General features: G+C 65.3%; 3 protein-coding genes and 1 non-coding gene across 39 annotated transcripts in view, besides 7 other annotated features; 2 read left to right on the forward strand and 2 right to left on the reverse strand.

Moving 5' to 3' along the window:
• MROH1 (maestro heat like repeat family member 1) overlaps positions 1-8,524 on the forward strand; it is a 113,911-nt gene extending 105,387 nt beyond the window's left edge. For 12 of the 36 annotated variants that reach the window (XM_047422170.1, XM_047422176.1, XM_047422172.1 and 9 more), the window contains 12 exons: positions 1,411-1,576; positions 2,107-2,303; positions 5,375-5,512; positions 5,838-5,952; positions 6,509-6,655; positions 6,784-6,972; positions 7,081-7,142; positions 7,275-7,430; positions 7,513-7,639; positions 7,712-7,814; positions 7,882-7,947; positions 8,253-8,524. In XM_047422170.1, the coding sequence (XP_047278126.1) occupies positions 1,411-1,576; positions 2,107-2,303; positions 5,375-5,512; positions 5,838-5,952; positions 6,509-6,655; positions 6,784-6,972; positions 7,081-7,142; positions 7,275-7,430; positions 7,513-7,639; positions 7,712-7,814; positions 7,882-7,947; positions 8,253-8,338 (1,552 nt within the window). In that variant the 3' untranslated portion in view covers positions 8,339-8,524. Of the gene's footprint in view, positions 1-1,410; positions 1,577-2,106; positions 2,304-5,374; positions 5,513-5,821; positions 5,953-6,508; positions 6,656-6,783; positions 6,973-7,080; positions 7,143-7,274; positions 7,431-7,504; positions 7,640-7,711; positions 7,948-8,252 lie in introns of those variants that run through there. The other 24 variants (NM_032450.3, XM_047422182.1, XM_047422185.1 and 21 more) reach the window with 6 other exon arrangements.
• A 118-nt stretch (positions 8,525-8,642) lies between these two features.
• Positions 8,643-19,742, reverse strand: part of BOP1 (BOP1 ribosomal biogenesis factor) — a 29,394-nt gene continuing 18,294 nt past the window's right edge. Inside the window, exons 4-16 of the mRNA NM_015201.5 lie at positions 11,515-11,669; positions 11,312-11,429; positions 11,113-11,214; positions 10,823-11,035; positions 10,579-10,740; positions 10,429-10,509; positions 10,290-10,359; positions 10,076-10,208; positions 9,819-9,999; positions 9,451-9,739; positions 9,186-9,270; positions 8,994-9,101; positions 8,643-8,915 (exon numbers count right to left, since the gene is read on the reverse strand). Coding sequence (NP_056016.1) covers positions 8,762-8,915; positions 8,994-9,101; positions 9,186-9,270; positions 9,451-9,739; positions 9,819-9,999; positions 10,076-10,208; positions 10,290-10,359; positions 10,429-10,509; positions 10,579-10,740; positions 10,823-11,035; positions 11,113-11,214; positions 11,312-11,429; positions 11,515-11,669 — 1,851 coding nt within the window. The 3' untranslated portion in view covers positions 8,643-8,761. The remainder of the gene's footprint in view (positions 8,916-8,993; positions 9,102-9,185; positions 9,271-9,450; positions 9,740-9,818; positions 10,000-10,075; positions 10,209-10,289; positions 10,360-10,428; positions 10,510-10,578; positions 10,741-10,822; positions 11,036-11,112; positions 11,215-11,311; positions 11,430-11,514; positions 11,670-19,742) is intronic.
• On the reverse strand, positions 9,271-9,335 carry MIR7112 (microRNA 7112). The gene has a single exon (NR_107057.1). It is a non-coding gene; the product is annotated as a microRNA 7112 (primary transcript).
• Positions 12,985-13,174: a silencer, noted in NCBI's record as "silent region_19666". NCBI's record gives its function as "represses an Ori minimal core promoter by ATAC-STARR-seq in GM12878 lymphoblastoid cells {active_cell/tissue: GM12878}" and the evidence as "EXISTENCE:reporter gene assay evidence [ECO:0000049][PMID:35858748]".
• SCX (scleraxis bHLH transcription factor) lies at positions 13,051-15,079 on the forward strand. The gene is made up of 2 exons (NM_001080514.3): positions 13,051-13,778; positions 14,702-15,079. The coding sequence occupies exons 1-2, from the start codon at positions 13,212-13,214 to the stop codon at positions 14,738-14,740; spliced, it is 606 nt and encodes a 201-aa protein (NP_001073983.1). The 5' UTR covers positions 13,051-13,211; the 3' UTR covers positions 14,741-15,079.
• Positions 13,420-14,187: an enhancer, noted in NCBI's record as "H3K4me1 hESC enhancer chr8:145321725-145322492 (GRCh37/hg19 assembly coordinates)". NCBI's record gives its function as "activates a minimal SCP1, AML or CMV promoter by ChIP-STARR-seq in primed H9 embryonic stem cells {active_cell/tissue: H9 hESC(primed)}" and the evidence as "EXISTENCE:reporter gene assay evidence [ECO:0000049][PMID:30033119]".
• Positions 14,188-14,953: an enhancer, noted in NCBI's record as "H3K4me1 hESC enhancer chr8:145322493-145323258 (GRCh37/hg19 assembly coordinates)". NCBI's record gives its function as "activates a minimal SCP1, AML or CMV promoter by ChIP-STARR-seq in naive H9 embryonic stem cells {active_cell/tissue: H9 hESC(naive)}" and the evidence as "EXISTENCE:reporter gene assay evidence [ECO:0000049][PMID:30033119]".
• Positions 17,535-17,704: a silencer, noted in NCBI's record as "silent region_19667". NCBI's record gives its function as "represses an Ori minimal core promoter by ATAC-STARR-seq in GM12878 lymphoblastoid cells {active_cell/tissue: GM12878}" and the evidence as "EXISTENCE:reporter gene assay evidence [ECO:0000049][PMID:35858748]".
• Positions 17,535-18,242: a biological region, named in NCBI's record as "H3K27ac-H3K4me1 hESC enhancer GRCh37_chr8:145494989-145495632".
• Positions 17,599-18,242: an enhancer, noted in NCBI's record as "H3K27ac-H3K4me1 hESC enhancer chr8:145494989-145495632 (GRCh37/hg19 assembly coordinates)". NCBI's record gives its function as "activates a minimal SCP1, AML or CMV promoter by ChIP-STARR-seq in naive H9 embryonic stem cells {active_cell/tissue: H9 hESC(naive)}" and the evidence as "EXISTENCE:reporter gene assay evidence [ECO:0000049][PMID:30033119]".
• Positions 18,243-18,886: an enhancer, noted in NCBI's record as "H3K27ac-H3K4me1 hESC enhancer chr8:145495633-145496276 (GRCh37/hg19 assembly coordinates)". NCBI's record gives its function as "activates a minimal SCP1, AML or CMV promoter by ChIP-STARR-seq in naive and primed H9 embryonic stem cells {active_cell/tissue: H9 hESC(naive and primed)}" and the evidence as "EXISTENCE:reporter gene assay evidence [ECO:0000049][PMID:30033119]".

The following is a 19,742-nucleotide window of genomic DNA, read 5'->3' on the forward strand; positions in this document are numbered from 1 at the left end:
ACCCGGCCCCCAAGGCCTGAGCCATTGTCTGTCCTGGTCAGAAGCTTGCCAGCCCTTCCCTGGGCACAGGTTGGCTTGGCTGTTGTATGCAGCCTCATGGGGGCCCACAGTGGCTGAGTCTGTGGCCTCCTGGCGCCTCAGCGACGGCCACCGCGTCCTTGCTGGCGCGTGCTGTGTGCCTGCCCTCCTGTGCATTTGTCCACGTTTCCTGCCAGGTCATTTGCTCCCCACACTCACGCCCAGCCCTCTGCTGCTTGCCTTCTGCTTGAAGGACGCTCCTGGAATTCCCACCACAAGGATCAGTGACACACTGTCCGCCTTTGTTTACTTGAGAATGTCTTTATTTGGCCATCCCTTGTGACTGTTCTTTCCGTGGCTTAGTATCCTAGTTCAGTGGAGTTTGCTCAGGTGTGTGACAGCACATCACTGTTTCTGGCTTCTGTCGTTGCTCCTGAGAGCCAGGTGAAGTCTCCTAGCACCGCATCTGTCCAGGAAGCCACTGCCTGCTTGTTGCTCATCTGTAGTTTGCAGGTGGGGGTTGCTTTTCCTTTGTTCTGCCAGGCGGCTTCAGGGCTCCCTGTCTGTAGGTCAGTATATTTCACCAGTTCTGAAAACCCCAACCTACTCCTTGACAGCCATTGTTTCCTCTGCCTCTGGGACATCCATCAAATGTACGTTAGCCCTCATTCCATCTTCCGCGTCCCTTATTCTGTCCTCTGCCTTCCCACGTTATTCTCTGTAATAATTTATCTGAAATTTTTTTATCTTCCTATTCACTGGGTAAGTTCTTAATCTTCCTATTTACTGTTTCTCTCTTCTACTGTATCTAGACTGGCACCAAATATGTCCACTGAGTACATTAGTGTTTCATTTCTAAAAGAGCTGTTTGGTTTTCTTTCAAATTTGCTGTATCTGTTTTTAGAATTTTCAGTTCCCGTCATATTCAGAGTTTGTTGTTCATTTCTGCAAACGCTGAGCGTAGCTGCCTCACGGTGCGTCTGCGGTGCCATCTGAGTGTTCTTGGCAGCACTGCCAGGTCTCCCTGGGAGCTGCGCTCTTTGACCCTGTGACGTCCTGAGGCCTGGGCCAGATGCTGCTTCCTCCAGGGAAGATTTGTTCTCCCTCCCAGTAGCTCCCCAGGGACCTCCCACACCACTGCCCTGGGCCCTGTGTGTATAGGCCCAGATTTTTCTCTGTGTCCTTTATTACCAGCTCTGTTTACAGATCCCTGGAGTCAGGGGAAGGGGTGAGCTCAGATCTGAGGCCAAGAGGCCATTTCCCAGCTGGCTGCAGCTGAGCCTGGTGGCTGTGTCTGAGCGTCGTGGAGCCAGGGTCCACGGCACCCAGGTGGCGGGGGGCAGGCGCCCTGACCAGCCACGGCCTCAAAGTGACTCTCCTGCTCTGCTCCAGCCACACCTGCATGCTGTGGCGGGCGCTGGCGGTGGAGCCTCGCCTAGCTGCCCAGGTCCTGGGGCTGCTGCTGGAGAAGATGAGTAGGGACGTCCCTTTCAAGGAGAGCCGGGCCTTCCTGCTGGGCCGCACCCCAGACCGCGTGGCCACGCTGCTGCCTCTCTCGGTGAGTCGGGCTCTCGGGGCCACCTTGACACGCTGTCCCTGCCCCGCTTGCCTGGGTGCCCGGGGGCAGGCCTTTTGATGAGGTGGCCCGGACGCCACCCCACAGGCACCTGGAGGCAGCACCGGGCTGGGAGCTCTGAGCTCAGGCTCGTAAAGGCCTCACAGGTGTGGGCCCCCAGGGGAGGCCACTTCATGTTTTATCCTGCGGAAAAAAAATAAACCCAGCTTGGCAGTGTTTTAAGCAGTAAAGCAGCTGTGAGAATTCCCTCCTCCTCCTTTCTGAGGAGCTGAGAACAGATGGCCTGAGGTCTGTCCTGTGAAGGCTGACTGCCCCTCTGTCCCTGTCTCCTGCCTCTACCCCTGAGGGCCAAGCCATGCAGTGGTGCGCCTCGCCCTTCCTGCGCTGCAGCTGGGATCTGAGACCTCCGAGCACATGATGCAGGCGAAGGGGGATGCAGTCTCATTGGGTGCAGGGCTCAGATCTCCTGCGGCCTGGAGGGAGGCATGGCCCTGTGATGACTTCTCCCCCAGGCTACCTGTGCACTGTTTGAGGTCATGTCCACGCCTGCAGCGGGGCCCGCGGTGCTCGAGCTCTACCCCCAGCTGTTTGTGGTGCTTCTGCTGCGCGTCAGCTGCACCGTGGGTGTCCAGCTGCCCCGGAACCTGCAGGCCCAGGAAAGGAGGGGTGCCAGTCCAGCCCTAGCCACCAGGAACCTGGAACCCTGCAGGTATCTGGGTCCCCACTTCCCACCTCCAGTACTGATTCGGAAGCACAGGCATGCGTGTGCACGCGCGTGGTGGGGGCGGACGGCAGATCTGAACCACGGGGAGTGTGGGAGTGACTTTGCTTCCAGGGAGCTGGCGCCTCACCCAGGTGCAGGGCTGAGCTGTCAGTGGTGACATCCATGGCCACCCTTCTCACACTGGCTGTGAAGGCCTCCCTCCTCGCCTCTGCGGGCGGTCTGCACGGTGGTGCTGAACACAGGCAGCTGGTGGGGGCTTCGTGTGGCAGCTCAGGCAGGATCCGGGTGGTGCCTTCTCCTGGGAGTGGAGTTGTGTGGAGTCTTTGGGGTATAGGCTGGGGTCAACCATGGCAGGACCAGCTTTGTCCCTGAAACTGCCCCAGCAGAGCGGCCTTTGGCACGTGTTCACAGCCCCACACGTAAGAGCTGCCCAGGTGCCTGACATGAAGCATTCCAGGTCCTACACACCTGCCTGGGGCCATAGCACAGACAGAGGAGGCTGACACCCTGGGCAGGCGTGGCTGTGTGGCCTGACCCCAGGACCACGAGCCCATGTGAACGCAGGGCTGCCATGCCGCACCTGCCCAGGAGGGCTCTGGTTCCATCCCACCCAGGCGCCCAGGTTTGGGTGTGCACCTTGGCCAGGACACACCAGGGGGACAGCCTCACTTCAGCCCCTCCCCCTGCCCCCCTTGGCCAGGACACACCAGGGGGACAGCCGCACTTCAGCCCCCTCCCCCTGCCCCAGCACCACAGGCTGCTCAGACCCAGGCCAGCTCGTAAAGCCCAGTGGGGCCGGCTGCCAGCGCTGCTCTGCCCCTAGCAAACTGAGTGGAAAATGTGAATGGGATGGGGCAGCCACCAGCCCCTGGGCCTGGCCTGCTGCGAATCAGTGCCTCCGCCCCGAGCTGTAGGGCTGCGGGCCCCACGCCCACCCCCAGGTGCCCCTTCACTGGGACGATTGCAGAGCCTGGTGTACAGGCCGTTCGCCAGTGGGTCGGACCCTTGTGGGTGCCACATTCTTAAATGTCCTGGGCACACAAACAAGGGAGGCACCCTCATCCAAATCACTAACACATTCGTGAGCCAAACACACGCTTCCCGTTAGATTTGTCGAAGCTGGTTGTGAGTTGCTGTGCCTGCGCCATTTGCAGCCTGGAGCGCAGCCCCTGGTCCAGATGGGGCCTTGCAGGGCTCGAGGCCTGGAGCAGGGTGTGGAGCTGGAGGCAGAGCTGCACTCAAGCTGGGCCCTGGCTCAGACCATGAGGCCCTGGCTCAGACCATGAGGCCCAGCTGAACTGACTGTGGCCCGGTGGGTCCTCCCTCCGCCTGCGGCTGGCCTGGCCTGTATGTGTCAAGGGCATCTCCCAGGAACTGCAGTGACTGGTGTGGCTCTGTCCTCTGCCTGTGGTCAGTGCTGGCTGTCCTGTTCCCAGGGCTGGAAGCCCCCTTGGCACCCAGGCTACCTGGGCTCAAAGATCAGGCCCCAACACTGGAACCATGGGACTCCAGGCTTTTCCAGAGCTGCCTTCTCGTACGTCCGACCTTGGGGAGGGAACCCGTGAGAGAGAGGAGCCTGGGGACACTCATCAAGGGCTGTGTGAGGGGCTGGCCCTGCTGTTGGTCAGCACCAGACCACCCAGGCACACCCCATGGGGACAGTGGTATACTGGGAGCAGGCCCCCAGCACCTCCTTCCTGGGCTGCCGAGACCCCCGTGGCCCTCAGCTCCTACAGCCCCTGTCCAGCTCTCAGGCCGCCTCATTCCTGCCGGCATCACCAGCCCTGTGTACCCAACCGTCCAGAAGCCTCATGGGGCCCATCACCAGATCTCTAACAAGCTTGTCTCATGCTCCTGTGCCCACCACACCCTCCTCCTAGATCCCACCTGCATGAGGGCCTCACACACCATCCAGGCGAGTAGGGCCTGGCCCCCAGCTTGGCGGGGCCACTTGTTCCCTGCTAGGCCCACTCCACGTCGCAGCACACCAGGGGCCCTGTGGGACACCTGGCAGGAGGTGACCAGGGCAGTGGCACTGTCACCACCACCAGCGGTCACCACACGGCCCGTGCCGCTCGGGGGTTGTCTGCTTTTGGGCCAGGTGCTCCTGAGGACGAAGCCTTGTGGGGACAGAGGTCCAAAGGCGGCGGGGGCCTAAGTGTGAGGTGCTCGAGGGCAGCGGAAAGCCACATGGCAGGGGCTGTGGAGTTGAAATGGAGGGTCCTGCTGGGTGGGGACGCTGGTGCAGGGCATCCTCTGCCCCAGACCGTGCCTGTTGGGTCACACACTACGCCCCACCCACTGGCAGCCAGGAGTGGAGCAGCCTCAGCAGGGAAGGGCTCATCTGAGCCGATGGTCGATGCCAGGCTCAAGCTGGGCCCTGTAGAGGCTTCAACATCAGACTCTCCCTGCCAGTTTCTGGCCCAGCCACTGCCAGGGAGACCAGAGGGCAAGGTGCTTGCCTGGTGGAGGTCTGGGGAGTCAGAGAGTTGGCCAAGGTGGCCCCCATTGCACGCCCAGGGCGCCTGCTCTTCAGCACGCCAGCAGCCCCTCCAGCTCTCGGCACCATCCTCCCGCTCACTTGCCAGCCAGCCTCAGCCGACACTGGGAGTGGATCAGGGGCCTGCTCGCCTCCCAGAGGGCTGTGGAGTCTCCTGGGGTACAGGTGTGAGAACCCGAGGTGCCAGGCAGGAACAGGCCCGGGGTGGGGGGCACCTGTGGTGTGGGTGCCCAGCAGCGTCTGGGTGTCCGGAAAGGAAGGCCGGTGCAGCCAGAGGGCTTTGCCTGTGTCCAGCTCTCAGGCTGGTGGCCAGGTGGCCACAGGCTGACCTTGCTACTAGCTCACCTCCAAGCCAACATCTGCGTCCTTGCCTTGGGTGGGGAAATGGGGGGCCTCTAGCAGATGGCCCAGAGCCTGCTTCCTGGAGAGTGGCTCTGGCAGGGATAGGGCTAGCCACCAGGTGGGCAACACGCATTGGGTGCAGACCTGAGGAGTTAATCAGGAAGGGAGGTAGGCGTGTGTGCCCTACCAGCTGAGCACCCTGGCAATCCTGCAGCTCTGCAGTGGACACCCTGCGGTCCATGCTACTCCGCAGCGGCAGCGAGGATGTGGTACAGCGCATGGACCTGGAGGGAGGCTGGGAACTGCTCAGGACCTCGGCGGGGCATGAGGAGGGGGCCACCAGGTTGGCCAGGTGAGCGGGCCCAGCCCACTGCAGCTCCAGCACTGGCTGGGCTCCACCGGATCTCGAGCCCAGAACATGACAGGATCAGGCGGGGGCCCATGCGTGTCAGGCCAATGGTGCCCTGGGCTCCTGCCTGTTCACTCTCTGGGGCAGGGGTAGGGAGGCACCCCTGCAGAGGCCTGGCGAGGCAAGCTGGGAGGCATCTCTGAAACATAGAACTCCCAGAACCTGGCAGCTGGCGGTGGAGCGGACCAGGGCTGTGCAGGGTGGAAGGTGCCTGGGTAGGGTTCAGCACAGCAACAGCCCCTGCACCCTCAGCGGCCCCCTTTCCCAGGGCCATGGCTGAGCACGCAGGGCCCCGACTCCCCCTGGTGCTGAAGACGCTGGCATGCACACACAGCAGTGCGTATGAGAACCAGAGGGTGACCACCACCGCCTTCCTGGCCGAGGTAGGCCCTTCCAGGGACGGATGCTGGGCACCAAGGTGGGGCTCCTGCTCAGGACAGGCACGGGATGCCCTTTTCTTACCCCTAAAAGGCCCCCTCGACCGTGGTCTGTGAGGGAGGTTATGTGGATGCTAGCTACCTCCTCCCCCATGCCAGAACTCACTCAGTCCCACCCAGGGACACCCCCTCTGTGCCTGGTGAGAGGAGGACCGAGGCTCCCTGCAGCCTGTACTCTCCCCAAGTCCAGCTGGGTACATTTGTAGCTGGACAGGGCTGGCCCCTGGGACCCCAGGTGCCCTTGGTGGTGTGGTCTTGGCCTTCGTGGCCAAAGATGCCAAAATCTTGCCCAAGGCCGTGCAGCAGAGCACAGCGGGCGTCAGAGCAGGCCCCAGCGGCACAACAGGGAGGGGTCGCCACTGATCGGAGACCCAGGGAGTAGGTGCTCCACCTCTGTCTGCCACACCGGCGTGGGGACAGCCTCTGGTGTTCTGGGCCTGGGCTGGTGGGTTGAGCCCTGGGGTCAGCGGGGAGAGGGAAGTCACAGCACCTCTGCCTGCAGCTGCTGAACAGCAACGTGGCCAACGACCTCATGCTCTTGGACTCGCTGCTGGAGAGCCTGGCGGCTCGCCAGAAGGACACATGCGCCAGCGTGCGGAGGCTGGTGCTCCGCGGCCTGGCCAACCTGGCCTCCGGCTGCCCTGACAAGGTGGGGTGGCCACCAGCCCCTCTGGGTCCCAGGCAGCATGGGTGGGGGGCTGTGCATGGAGGCCACCCTGTCTTGTGGGGTAGCAGACGGTGACTCTGGGACCCAGGCTGAGTGTAAGGTATCCTCAGGTGCGAACCCACGGCCCCCAGCTCCTCACAGCCATGATTGGCGGGCTGGACGACGGGGACAACCCTCACAGCCCAGTGGCCCTGGAGGCCATGCTGGGCCTTGCGAGGCTGGTGCACCTGGTGGAGTCCTGGGACCTGCGCTCAGGGCTGCTGCACGTGGCCATCCGCATCCGGCCTTTCTTCGACAGTGTAGGCTGGTTGGGGCAGGGGGAGGGAAGAGGGCCCCAGCCCTTCCTGCCTCTTACTCTGAGCTTTAGCCCCAGCCCCACCCTCCTCCCTGTCTCCCACCTCGGCTAGGTGACCGTGGAGAGCGCGGACCTGCAGGGCTGCTGCTTTGCTGGGCCTGGCAGCCCCCACCCGTAAGGCCCCCACCCGTCGGGGTGTTTCCTGGCCCGGGTCAGGCAAGGGCACCCATCAATGGCAGGGGGCTAGGCAGGCAGGCCTGCAGGGGCACAGCCTGTGAGGAGACGTATGCTGCATGTCCTTCCCAGGAGAAGATGGAGTTCCGGACGGCATCTATCCGCCTCTTTGGGCACCTTAACAAGGTCTGCCACGGAGACTGTGAGGACGTCTTCCTGGACCAGGTGGTGGGCGGGCTGGCGCCCCTGCTGCTGCACCTGCAGGACCCTCAGGCCACCGTGGCCAGCGTGAGTAGCCAGGGGGTGAGTGGGATGGGGTGGGTGGCCTCAACTGGACTTGGCCCCAGTGCCGCATCCCTTAGGCCTGCAGGTTTGCCCTGCGCATGTGTGGCCCCAATCTGGCATGTGAGGAGCTCTCAGCTGCTTTCCAGAAACACCTGCAGGAGGGCCGAGCCCTGCACTTCGGGGAGTTCCTCAACACCACCTGCAAGCACCTGGTGAGGGGTGGGGCCAGGCGGGGCGTGGTGGGTGGGGCGGGGCCAGGCGGCACTGACCAGGCCTCTCCCCAGATGCACCATTTCCCAGACCTGCTGGGCCGTCTCCTGACCACCTGCCTGTTCTACTTCAAGAGCAGCTGGGAGAACGTCCGAGCTGCTGCACCCCTGTTCACCGGTAAGCACCACCCCCTGCCCCACCCCCACGCCGCCCGGCAGCCCCGCCTGATGCCCCCACTTCACAGGGTTCCTGGTGCTGCACTCGGAGCCCAGGCAGCAGCCGCAGGTGGACCTGGACCAGCTCATTGCGGGTGAGCACCCCTCCACGGGGCCCCTCCGCTGGGCCCTGCTGACCCTGTAGGCACCCGCAGGGACTAAGTGATTTTCCTGGATTTCAGGACTTTTTCCCTGTCACTGGTGACCTCATCGTCTCTAGTAATTCACGGAAACTTCTTAACTGTTCCAAAAGAGCTTAAAAAACACTAAAAAAGGAAAAACGATCTTTCCGTTGGCTCCTGAGCCTCCCAGCAGAGGCTGTCAGGAGAGCGTGGCCCACGCGCAGGCATGGGCATGCCGAGGTCACAGCCCGCAGGCAGCCCCCCTCCTCTACCCCCAGCGCTCCAGATCCTGCTGAAGGACCCGGCCCCCGAGGTGCGGACGAGGGCTGCTGAGGCCCTGGGCCGCCTGGTGAAGCTCGCCTAAGGCTCCGGCCAGCACCCCCAGCGAGGAGTATGCACCCAGACCTGTGCCTGAGCTCCAAGACAGGGCCTCCTGAGGACCACAGCCTGGGCACACGACTGGAGGGGCCTGGCCCCAGAACAGGCACTGCTGGGGACCAAACCCAAGCCCTTCAGTGAGGGATGTGCCCAATAAACTCATCTGCTCCCAGCGAGTGACTGACAGGGTGCGATGCTGAGCCTCTTAGGGGATGGGCCAGAGGGTGCCCTGGACTGGCTGTGTTGTCCCCACTGTTTTTGCAAAATTGAGTGAGGGGAAGGCTCGGCGCTGTGGTGGGGGCGGCTTTGTTGGCAACCCCAATTCAAGAAGGTGGGAGCACCAGGCAGCACAGGGTAAAGGCTCTGTTGACTTCAGCACGACCACCCCAGCCCCAGGCAGGCAGAACAGCTAGGTGAAGAGGCGGACAGTCCCGTCTGCCCCCGAGGAGAAGACCCACGGCTGGGTGGGGTGGAAGATGACGTCCAGCACTCCCAGATCTCGGGTCAGCACGTGTCCCTTCAGCACCTTGACGGGCACCAGCAAGGGGTTCTGCAGAAGGTCACTGTGGGGACGAGGAGGGCTCAGGGCACGGCCAGACACCACTGCCCTGGGGAGGGGGCCAGGCAGGGTCAGCACTCACTTGTACACCATGCCATGGCAGACGATGACACTGCCGTCGTCCGAGCCTGACGCAAAGAGTGGGTACCGCGGGTGGAAGGCCACAGCCCGCAGAGCCTTCTTGTGGTGTCTGGGGGGAGGGAACCAGGTTGAAGGCAGGCTCGGGCTGAAGGGAGGGGCTCTGCTGGCCGCCTCCACCCCCAGCTTTCCTCACCTCAGCATCCTGTATGGCTTGGTGGAAAGATCCAGGTCAAACCACACCAGCTTGCTATCGTAGCTCCCACAGATGACGTTGTCACCTAGGGCCAAAGGCTGTGATGCAGGTGTTCCCGCTCTCACCTGCAGGGTGCACTGCCCTGCCCGTCACCTACACCCCTCACCTGCAGGGTGCACTGCCCCTACCCCCACCCCTCACCTGCAGGGTACACCGCCCCCCCCCCCACCCCTCACCTGCAGGGTGCACCGCCCCCACCCCTCACCTGCAGGGTGCACCGCCAGGCTGGACACCCACTTGCAGTTGGGCATCAGCTTCTTGGTGAGCTCCTGGCGCAGCAGGTGGTAGAGGCGGACGCTGCGCTGGGACGCCACCAACAGGAAGGGCCGGGCAGGGTGGAAGGCCACTCGCTGCACCTGTCCGTGGCTGCGGCGGAACGGACTCTGGCTGCGGCGACGGCTCAGCTGGTGAATCAGCACCTGGGTGTGGCCTTGGGTGGCCAGCACCACGGCCAGGTAGTCCCCACGCCCGTGCCAGGTCACCTGCGTCACTGGCTGCAGGAGAGCAAGGCTGGCTGAGTGGCTGAGCCGGGCCCCTCCCGCTGCAGCCTCACCCCCAAGGCGCCCCACGTACCTTCCCGTGGCAGATGCGCAGCCGCAGGCCCACTTGGCGCTCCTCCTCTGAGGCCTCCAGCCAGCGGGCCGGCTGCAAGGGGGGCTCCTCAGGCGGGACGAAGGCGCTCAACAGCTGATCTGTGCTGCCCGCCACCAGCCGGTCCCCCAGAGCTGGGTTCAGCAGCAGCACCGAGTCCTCCCTGTGAGCCAGGCCCAGACACGGCCCCTAAGCACAGTGCCACCCCTGGCTCCCCAGCCCCCAGGGCCTCCACTTACACGGCTGCAGCCACCAGGCAGACAGCGGGGCTGGGGTTCCAGGCCACACTCTTCACCACGCCCCCCACGGGAACAGTCCTCACACAGCGGGCAGTGGCCACCTCCCAGAGCCGCAGGGAGCCGTCGTCAGAGCCTGGATGCGGCAGAGACAGCTCTCAACACCTGGCCATCCCACCTGCCCCCCAGCTCAAGGCTGCCCCCAGCTCGGACCCACCTGAAACCAGCCACTGGCCCCCAGGAGAGACACTGAGGCACCGGACAAGGTCACTGTGGCCCCTGTAGACCTGAGGAGGCGGCGGCAGTGAGGAGTCAGACTGGGAGGGTGCAACCCCAGCCCCCTAGTCTCCACTTACCAGGGCCTGGCACGTGGGGAAGGGCTGCAGGTCCCTCGGCCGAGGCAGCTTGGGGATGAGGTCCTCAGGGTCTACATTCACCTGGGGCAGGAGAGCGCCAGGTCAGCCTTGCCCCCTGTGCCACCCCCCTGGTGTGCCACCCCCACACACCCTCATCTTGCGCTGCCGTGGGCACAGGTACAGGTCAAGGCAGCGCTCGAAGCGTTCCTGGATGAAGCGTCCGTAGGCAGGCACGGCCCGCAGGCTCGGGAACTTGCGTGGCAAAAAGCTCAGCTTCCTCTCGCCTGGCTCCTGCTGTTCCCACGCCAAGCGCTGTGGAGACCAAGACACAGGGGTGGGGAGGGTCACAGGGAAGCATGGGGACAGGGTCCCGGCCCCCAGGATGCAGGCCCACCTCCTCCTCGCTGAGCAGGTATTCAGGGGGTGGGTTGTACGACTCGGCGTGGCCTGGCAGGGCCAGCTTGGGAGCAGGTACGTGCATCTTGTGGCGCCCGAGCACGGCGTTGGGGTCCTCCTGGGCCCACAGGTCATAGAAGCTGGGGGTGGGGTCTCGGGGCCGGCGAGGCTGGATCCAGCCCATCTTGATGGCGTGCACCATGCGAGAGACCTGCATAGACAGCCGGGTCAGGACGGGCAGTGCGGGGCGGTCAGCCCAGGCCAAGCCCCAGGGGCTGTGTGCCCCACCTTCTCCTTCTCCACCAGGGAGGGGATGAAGCTGCGCTTGTCGGCCGGGCGGTTGGTCACCGGGTGGATCATGACGTCCCCGCTGAAGAAGTCGACAGCCGGCTGGGGGAGAAGATGTGGGCGTGTGGGCCAGAGTGGCTGAGGCCCTGCTGGTGCCTCCAGGACCCCCGCCGCCCAGGGGCCAGCCCCTGCCACCTACCTCATAGGGGTTGAAGCCCACATCCCCAAACTGGCCACTCTGCAGCCGCCGCACCAGGGCCACCTGCTCATCCGTCAGTCTCAGGTCCCGCCCTGTCATCGGGTCCTGCACGGTGCGCCTGGAGACCGCCAGTCAGACCCCGCCAGCCCTGCCCCACCCCTCGGGCCCACCCCGGCTGCTGGCCCCACCCCACCAGCCCTCACCAGTAGTCAGGATCGTCCATCTTGTCCAGGAACTGGTCCAGCTCATCCCGGGTCCGCAGGGGCTTGTAGATGCGCCTGCCATCCAGGTCGTAGCCCACGTGGGGGAAGTCATCGTACCACTCCAAGGGCACGTTGCCCACCGTGTTCCGGATGTCCTGCAGCCGGGGGCCACCATGTCGGCATCTGATCCTACAAGGCCCACCCCCGCTTCGGGCCGCCCAGGGGAGCAGGTGAGGGGGTTGCAGGGGGAGTGCAGGCCCAGCCTCAAGTGCCCTGAGGTCACTGGCCCTGACCTACGCCTGTTCCCCAGCCCTGGGGTCTGACGTGGCATGGCGGCCACGCTGCCCCCACCCCCGCCCTCGGAGGCGCCGGAGCTGCACCTTCACATTTTCCACTGAAGTGGTGCCAACCCCAGAGCTCCCCCCTCACTGGATTCCTTGGCCAGGGCTCTGGGCAGCCACAGACAGGGATGACCTCATCACCCACGGGCTCCCTCCCCTGGCAGGGGCCTTAGGCAGAAGTGGGCAGCTATAAGACGGGGACTCGGGGAAGACCCCAACTGACCCATTCCACAGAGAGGCAGAAGCCAAGACCTCTCTGTGGGGGACCCCCCACCGTCTGCCCTCGGCCCCTCCCCAGGCAGAACAGCCACGTTCCTGGACGTACATTCCTGGTTGCAGCCCCTGCCAGCCGCCACCCTCGCTCCTTCCAGCCTGGGGACCGCTGCCCAGGAGGCTGCTTCCTGCAACAGTAGCCACGGGGAGGGGCCCAGGCAAGACAGAGCACAGCTGGGAGCCTGCCGGGCCCCCTGCTGCAGGAGGGACCCCTTGGGCCCTGCCCCCTGCTGAGGGTCCTTCCCTCTCCTCCCCATGGAGATAGGGGGCCATCCCCAAATTGGATAATGGGGGTATGTGTGTGCTTCCTGAGGGGCCTGGTGGCCCTGGAGAGGAACGGGGGAAGGAGGAAGGGGCAAGGAGACCGACGGGGTGAGAGGTCCACACAGCACAAGAACAGGGGACATGGCCAGCTAGCAGAAGGCACAGTCTGTGCCAAGCCTGGAGAGGCAGGTGCAGGACAGACAGGCGGAGAGACTGAGCTCTAGGCCCCTAAATACTCGCCTGTGCCCGCCCCCTGCACACGGCCTGGCACAGGCAGGCGCTGGCGCACATGGGAGGCAAAGACAGACAGGGTGCGGTCAGGCAGCAGGGCCAGGGCGGCTGGGTTAACTCAGTTGTGCCACGGGAGAAAACGGGGTGGTGGGTTCCTCCCCTCTCCCGGGGACGGGGGGCACTGCAGTTTTGGGGCCCTGAGTAACTACAGCCCAGAAGCGACCTCCCAGTTCCTCCGCATCCCCAGAGACGGAACGATGCCCCCAAAGACCAGCCCCGCCCCCCCCACCCCCGCCAAAGCGTGGCCACAGAAGGCCGAGGGACGCGGCGGGCGCTGCTCGAGGAGCCTCCGGGCTGAGAGGGGCGGGGCGTGCGCGGGGGAGGGGCCGGGACGCCGCTATAAAGGCGCAGCTCGGGGCCCCGCTCCGGCCCGGGACGCACATGTGCGCGCGACGCCCGGCAGCTGCCACCGCGGGGCGCAGCCGAGACCCCGCGCCTCGCCCCGGCCGGCCCGCGAGGCCCGCGGCGGCCGCAGGAGGCGGCATGAGCAGCGCGCGACAGAGCTGACGCCGCGCCCCCGCCGGCCCCATGTCCTTCGCCACGCTGCGCCCGGCGCCGCCGGGCCGCTACCTGTACCCCGAGGTGAGCCCGCTGTCGGAGGACGAGGACCGCGGCAGCGACAGCTCGGGCTCCGACGAGAAACCCTGTCGCGTGCACGCGGCGCGCTGCGGCCTCCAGGGCGCCCGGCGGAGGGCGGGGGGCCGGCGGGCCGGGGGCGGGGGGCCAGGGGGCCGGCCAGGCCGTGAGCCCCGGCAGCGGCACACGGCGAACGCGCGCGAGCGAGACCGCACCAACAGCGTGAACACGGCCTTCACGGCGCTGCGCACGCTGATCCCCACCGAGCCCGCCGACCGCAAGCTCTCCAAGATTGAGACGCTGCGCCTGGCCTCCAGCTACATCTCGCACCTGGGCAACGTGCTGCTGGCGGGCGAGGCCTGCGGCGACGGACAGCCCTGCCACTCCGGGCCCGCCTTCTTCCACGCGGCGCGCGCCGGCAGCCCCCCGCCGCCGCCCCCGCCGCCTCCCGCCCGCGACGGCGAGAACACCCAGCCCAAACAGATCTGCACCTTCTGCCTCAGCAACCAGAGAAAGTTGGTGAGCACGGGCCGTGGGGCGCCGAGGGGGGCCTCCAACGCGCCCCTCAGCCCACACCTGCCAGGCAGAGGAGGCGAGGCCACACGGGCAGGGCTCCCCAACAGGGCACAGGCAGGCACACCTGTAACACAGGCCTGCCGGGGGCTGGGGCCTTCTCCTGGGGCTCCTCTCCAGGGCGTCCCTAGGACACTCGGCTCCCAGTGGAGTGTGGAGTCCCCTGCAGGGAGCTGCATGAGGGGTAAGAGCTAGGGATGGCCAAAGGGGCCCACCCAGGGCGGGGAGGCTGGGGAGCTGGACCAGGCCGCTGCAAGCTTCCCTTTTCAGTAAGTTGAAAGGCGGAGTGAAAACAGCTGAGTTCAGAAAGTAAGAGGCTGCAAGGCAAGAGAGGAAGGACCCCGGGTTCTTAGCCCCTGCGGCCCAGCACTGGCTTAAGCCATCTTGGGCACCTGCTGTCCGTCCCCCACCTAGGCCGCACACCAAGACACCAGGTCCTGTAGGGCTGCCCGAGACGTGGGCCATGGGACACGAAGGCAGAGGCTGGCAGGAGATGTGGGGGCTGGGGGTGAGGGCCCCTGCAGGAGACGCTGGCCAGCTGTGATTTACAGCTCCTGCTGTGCTTGGTGGCACCGGAAAAGCAGGGTGAGCAGGGAGAAAATACGGCACGGCTTTTCCCAATCCCCATTTCCTCTCCAGACAGCACGCGCGAGCTCCTGGGGCCTGAACATCTGGGAAATTTAATTTTACAATTTCGGCTGTGCAGCAGTATGCTCCCCTCCCCAAAACGCTTGAGGGAAGCTGGGGAGAGCCGGGAAGGAGGTGCCTTGGCGCTGGCCACCTGAGATGGCACCCAGCAGGGAGGCCAGAGAGGCGCAGACTGGCGCTGGGCTCTGCCGGGGCCTGACACTCCTCCCTCCCCTCTGCAGAGCAAGGACCGCGACAGAAAGACAGCGATTCGCAGTTAGGAGGTGGCCGGCAGCAGCCAGGAGGCAGACGCTGCTGGGGGAGGTGGACGCCCGGGGTGACTGCAGACAGCCCCCACCTTGGACCTGAGCTGGGCAAGGCCCACCGCAAGCATGCCCCCAGGCCAGCCCTGGCTGCGAGCGGGGCCGAGGGACAGACGGACGTACAGACAGGCGCCGGCAGCGGGACTCTGCGCTGGCCCCAGCACCTGCCCGGGCCCACTGGAACTTTCTGCGCTGGCTTTTCTTCCGGCCACTGTGTGATGGCATCTTGTGTTTTTGATATGATAATATAAAGTCTGAAAATTTTGTATAATTAAAAACAAAACAGTATCTTCCAAATATGGAGGCCAACTGTCCTCATGAAAGGTTCAGAATCCACCCCCAGCCCCCAGCCTGAGCCTCCATTCCCACCCTTGGTGGTCCCATCCTCCTTGGGCCAAGTACCCCGGCTCCCTGGGAAGCCCCCACTTTCCAGGCTCAGGGCCACCCCTCCCTGGGCTGAGGCGGTGAGGATGGGCTTAGCTCACCCACAGAGCCTCATATCGGGAAGCTGTGGGGTGGGGACAAGGGAGCCACGCCGGGAGAGAGGGTGGGGGAGGAGCTGCGTGGCAGAAGATGGGGAGGGCGAGGCACAAGGCAGGGACGCTGTAAGGCAGGGACAGGGAGGCAGCGGCAGGGACAGAGGCAGCAGCAGGGCAAGGGTGCCCCCGACTCGGGCCTGTCGGGCACCCGGGGGCCCTGAGGGTGAGGAGGGCGCTGCAGGTGGCCACAAGGAGTGGAGCGAGCTGTGCTGCCCAGCGGAGGGGGGGGCTCCCAGCCCCAGCGAGGGCAGTGGGTGTCCTGCCTCCACGAGCCTTGACTGGAGAGAGGGGCATCTCCTCATGCACCAGTGCCACTTGGCCCCTGGAAGCACTGCCCACGTGGGAAGGAGGACCCCTGGCCATCCTCCTCCCACCACCACGGCCCATCCAGCCCCCTGAAGACCCCGCCCACCACAGGAGGTGGGTTTAGCCCCCACAGTGCTCTGTGCACAGCTGGCTGGCCATTAAAACCCTGCAGGTGACAATTACCATTGAGTGGTGTGAGATCAGTGGGCACAGAGAGAAGAAGGGCGGTGCTGTGTGGACCACCTCCCCCCAACCCTGCCAGGCCACAGCCTAACTTCCGGCTGGGTGGACAATGGCTGATGGTGCCAGGTGCGGGCGTCAGGGCGGCGGCCGGCCCCAGTTCCCCGCTAGCACAGGCAGGGACGCACCCTCGGGGGGAGACCAGGTGCTGTGGCCCACGTGGGCATCGGTGCAGGGCTGGCCCAGGACTGCCCCTCCTCTGCAAAGACAGGCTCCAGGGAATGGCGGAGCAGGAAGCAGTGGTGTAATTTTGGAGGAAATTCTCAAAGCCAGAGCCATTAAGGGCTAGAGGGGGGCTGAGTCCAATCTGATAGAAATATAACAGGATAAAAAGTCACAACGGCAGGTTTCGTTCAGAGAGAAACCCAACCCCAAATTTCCTCTCCCTAATCCTGCAGGAGCCCACAGCTGGCCAGAGGGAGGGGAGGAGAGGACAAGCTCAGTCACTGCAGAAGCCTCCGCCCGCCGGGAAGCCAGGGCCCGGGGGACACGGACATGCAGCTAGGGGCTGACGCAGCCCCTTCCCTTCTTGGGAGCTTTCCTCACACCCCCGCCCCGCCACCCTCCCAGGCACCAAGGCGCTGGTGAGTGAGGAGCAGGGTGGACCCAGGAGCATGGCCAGGCCGGGCACTCTGCATAGCACCCTAAGGCCCACGGCGCCCACGCCAGCCCTCCCTCCACTGGGCACTGGGTGTAGTTCTGTAGGGAGGGTCCATAGCCCACCTACCCCTCACCTCCAGGCCTCCCATTTCCAGACCTGGGCCTAGTGGGGGTTGCAAACCTCCACATGAACCCCCAACCTCAGTGGCCGGTCAACGTTGGGGACAAATGGGATGGAAGATAGTGAAAGTCTCCAGGGCAGGGACATCAGGGGCTGCTGGCCTGAGCGGGCAGGTGCGGGGCGTCGGCGGCCGGCACCAAGGACAGGGCAGAGCCAGCTCAGAGCGGGAATGCAGGAGGCCAGACAGGAGCAGGTGGGAAGGTGCGGGCCAGCATGGGGAGGTCTGGGCAGGGTCAAGAGGGAGTGCAGGGGAAAGAGACGTCAGAGCCCCCGTGGACTGGGGTCAGAGTTTGGGGTGTCTAACGAGGCTAGAAGAAAGTGAACAGGGAACAACGACCTGGAGGCCTCGGAGCTGAAAGGATCCCCAGGGCCCTGCTGGTTGGGGTGCAGCACTCACAGCCAAGCCCTCCGCTGCGGGCCTGACTCCGACCGCGGCTGCAGCTTGGCCAGCCTCAGGCCTGGGCAGCCAGCCCAGCCGCTCCCTGAGCTGCACCGGTAGCAGCGGCCGAGGGCCCGGCCCGCCAGCCAGCAAGAGGGGAGGGGCGGGGGAGGAACACTCCGTCACCCTCCACTGCTCCAGAAATTCAAACCAGACCGGGGGTGGCGTGGGCTGACCCCCAGGCCTGCGGCAGCCCACCCGAATCCACTCGTAGCTCACAGCCGCCGGGCAGACGAGTGGCAGGTGCTCCCTGCCCACCACAGCCCCTGGCTCCCTTCCCAGAGTGCTGGCCTCACCTCCACAGAGACCCAGGGCTCCCTCCGCCTGTGCCCCACAGAGGCAGCTGGGACGGAAGGGGCCCCAGCCTGCACCCTGGGCCAGCAGCCGCCCCTGCGAGCCGAGCTGGGCTGGAAACGCTCTGCTGGGCCTCAGCTGTCAGCTCCTGTCCCCGGCCTGGGGAACGAGCTGCTGGCGGGACACATGATTCATCACGGTCGCCTGCGCCCACCACCCGCCCCGCCCAGCGCAGCACCTGCGGGCTGCCAGGAAACACATGTGACCCCTCCGGGTCAGGCCCCGCACGGAGAGCCCCGGCCGGCCGGCCGGGGGCACACACAGACCCAGCATCAGGGCTCTCCTGGGGGCCGCCCAGCCCCAAGGACAGGCCCCCAGCCCAGACTGCACCGGACACAGGCCGCAACCGGCTGATGTGTCGGCTGGGATTTTTCCGCTCTCGATGAGCCCCCTTCCCTCCCCCTCCCCAAAGTGGCTGCAGCTGTCAGGACCACAGATTGGAACTGCAGGTATGGGGCTGGCCCGCTGCCCGCCTCCTCCCGTGTCTGTCTGCGAGAGAGGAAGCCGGCCCACCTCTGGAATCCTTCACTCTCTCCTCGTTCCGCCTCTCCCACCTGTCCCCCGGGAGCGTGGGGTCAGCCGCCCTCGCTCCGTCTCTCTCTTCCCCAGCCCCTCTCCGATTACAATGCGGGTAGTGTTCAGCGTTCGCGCCGCTCCCCTGCACAAAACGCCCGCCTGTCTCGGAGCGCCACACGGCCTTCCTGTGCGACGTGAGGCCGCCTCCTCTTCCTCAGGGTTTTATCTGTTGAAGTGCTCAGGGCAAGGCCAGGGCGGGAGGCTCACCTGCTGCATCTCACCCTACTGAAGGTTCCAGCAGGGGTGCTGGGCCCTGGCGCCGGGGCCAGAGGGGAGAAAGCCAGGTCCTGCTTAGTCTCCTCCTCCTCAAAGTCCAAACCAGCTGAGCGAACCCCCAGCCCAAGGTGGGGCCCCAGGCAGGAGGAGCCACCAGCCCAGACGCCCTCAGCTCCGGCCCGGCTCCCGCCAACCACGCATCTGCCCTTCTAGAGGCTGGGCACACAGCTCGGCCTTCTCCCGGCACCTCCACCACTGGAGAGAAGCCACTACTGACCCAGGGGTCCTTGCACCTCCACAGCTGGGAGGGCAGCAAGTCACCTCCTGGGGGTCTGCAGGCTGGAGAGAAGCCACTACCGACCCAGGGGTTCCTCCAGACCTGGCCTGCCTCGGTCTCTGCTGGGGCTGACCCAGGGACAATAGCTGTTCCCAGGCAGAGCACCCCAACGCCTGGCATCTCATAAGCAGGGGCTCCCAGAAACCAGGATGCTAGGGGTGGGGCACAGGCTTGGGGCATGACACCCCAAACACCCCCCACCGACACCCACCAGTGCTCACCCCTCCTCGGCCTGCTCTGAGCCCCACAACTCAGAGCTACAACTTCCAGGTGGGGTGGGGACAGGGCTCTAGAGGTCCACACCCGCTCAGCCCCCAACTCCGGACACCTCCAAAATCTCATTCTGGAGACTTTTCCCCCAGTCCTGATCCGTGCACACACACGTACCTGGGACTCCCGTCCCCTGCAGAACAGCCCCGGCCTTGGGACGTACACCCAGACCCAGCTCTCCCCAGCCGGCCTCCCCAGAGGGCCCAGAGCCTGCAGCCGTCACCACCTGCCCAACAGACCTTGCCCTCCAATGCCTTCCCCGGCTCCACTCCACAGGCTGCTCTGCCAGCCCCAGGGCAAAGCCTCCGCTCAAGAGCCCTGTAGAGCACCCCCCGCTGCCCACCCGGGTTCCAGCTGCCAAGGACACTGGCCCCGAGTGGGCACAGCAGGCCAGGGCCCCCACCACCCTTGCAGCCCACAAGCAGGAGGACGCGGCTCTGAAGAGGCCACTCCCACCTACCAGCCACTGCCCAGCCCTGCTTCATCCGAGAGCCCAGGGTACCCCCATGAGGGCCCTGGCTTCCCTGCCCCTCATCACTGACCCCAGGGTCTCTCCTCTCCCAAACCGGACAACTGAGTGCAGCAGGCCAGGCCTAGGAGGGCCTTCAAGCCGGCCAAGGGGCACGCGGCAGTCAGGCTACACACACCCACCCACAGCCTGGGTAGCAGGGCGCGCCCGTTTCCCTCCTCAGTGGAAAGGGACCAGACCCGAGGGCCAGCCCCAGCCCAGTCAGCAGCCCCCTCGGAGGCAGGCATGCAGGCGGCCGCGGGGGTGGATGGCCGCCAGGGAGATTGGGGCGGTCTGCAGGCCCGGGCGCCCTCCACAAGCAGCGTGGGGAGGGCCGTTCGCTCGCCGGGAAACCTGAGCCGAGGCCGCGCCGCCAGCAGCGACGCAAGCCTGA

The sequence above is a fragment of the Homo sapiens genome, chromosome 8 (genome assembly GCF_000001405.40).
Source record: "Homo sapiens chromosome 8, GRCh38.p14 Primary Assembly".
In the NCBI taxonomy this organism is placed as follows: Eukaryota; Metazoa; Chordata; class Mammalia; order Primates; family Hominidae; genus Homo; species Homo sapiens.

Excerpts from the sequence above, each read along its gene's own strand:
- SCX (NM_001080514.3), top strand. The coding sequence starts at position 13,212 with ATGTCCTTCGCCACGCTGCGCCCGGCGCCGCCGGGCCGCTACCTGTAC. Across the intron at positions 13,779-14,701 it reads TCAGCAACCAGAGAAAGTTG|AGCAAGGACCGCGACAGAAA; the intron begins GTGAGCACGGGC and ends TCCCCTCTGCAG.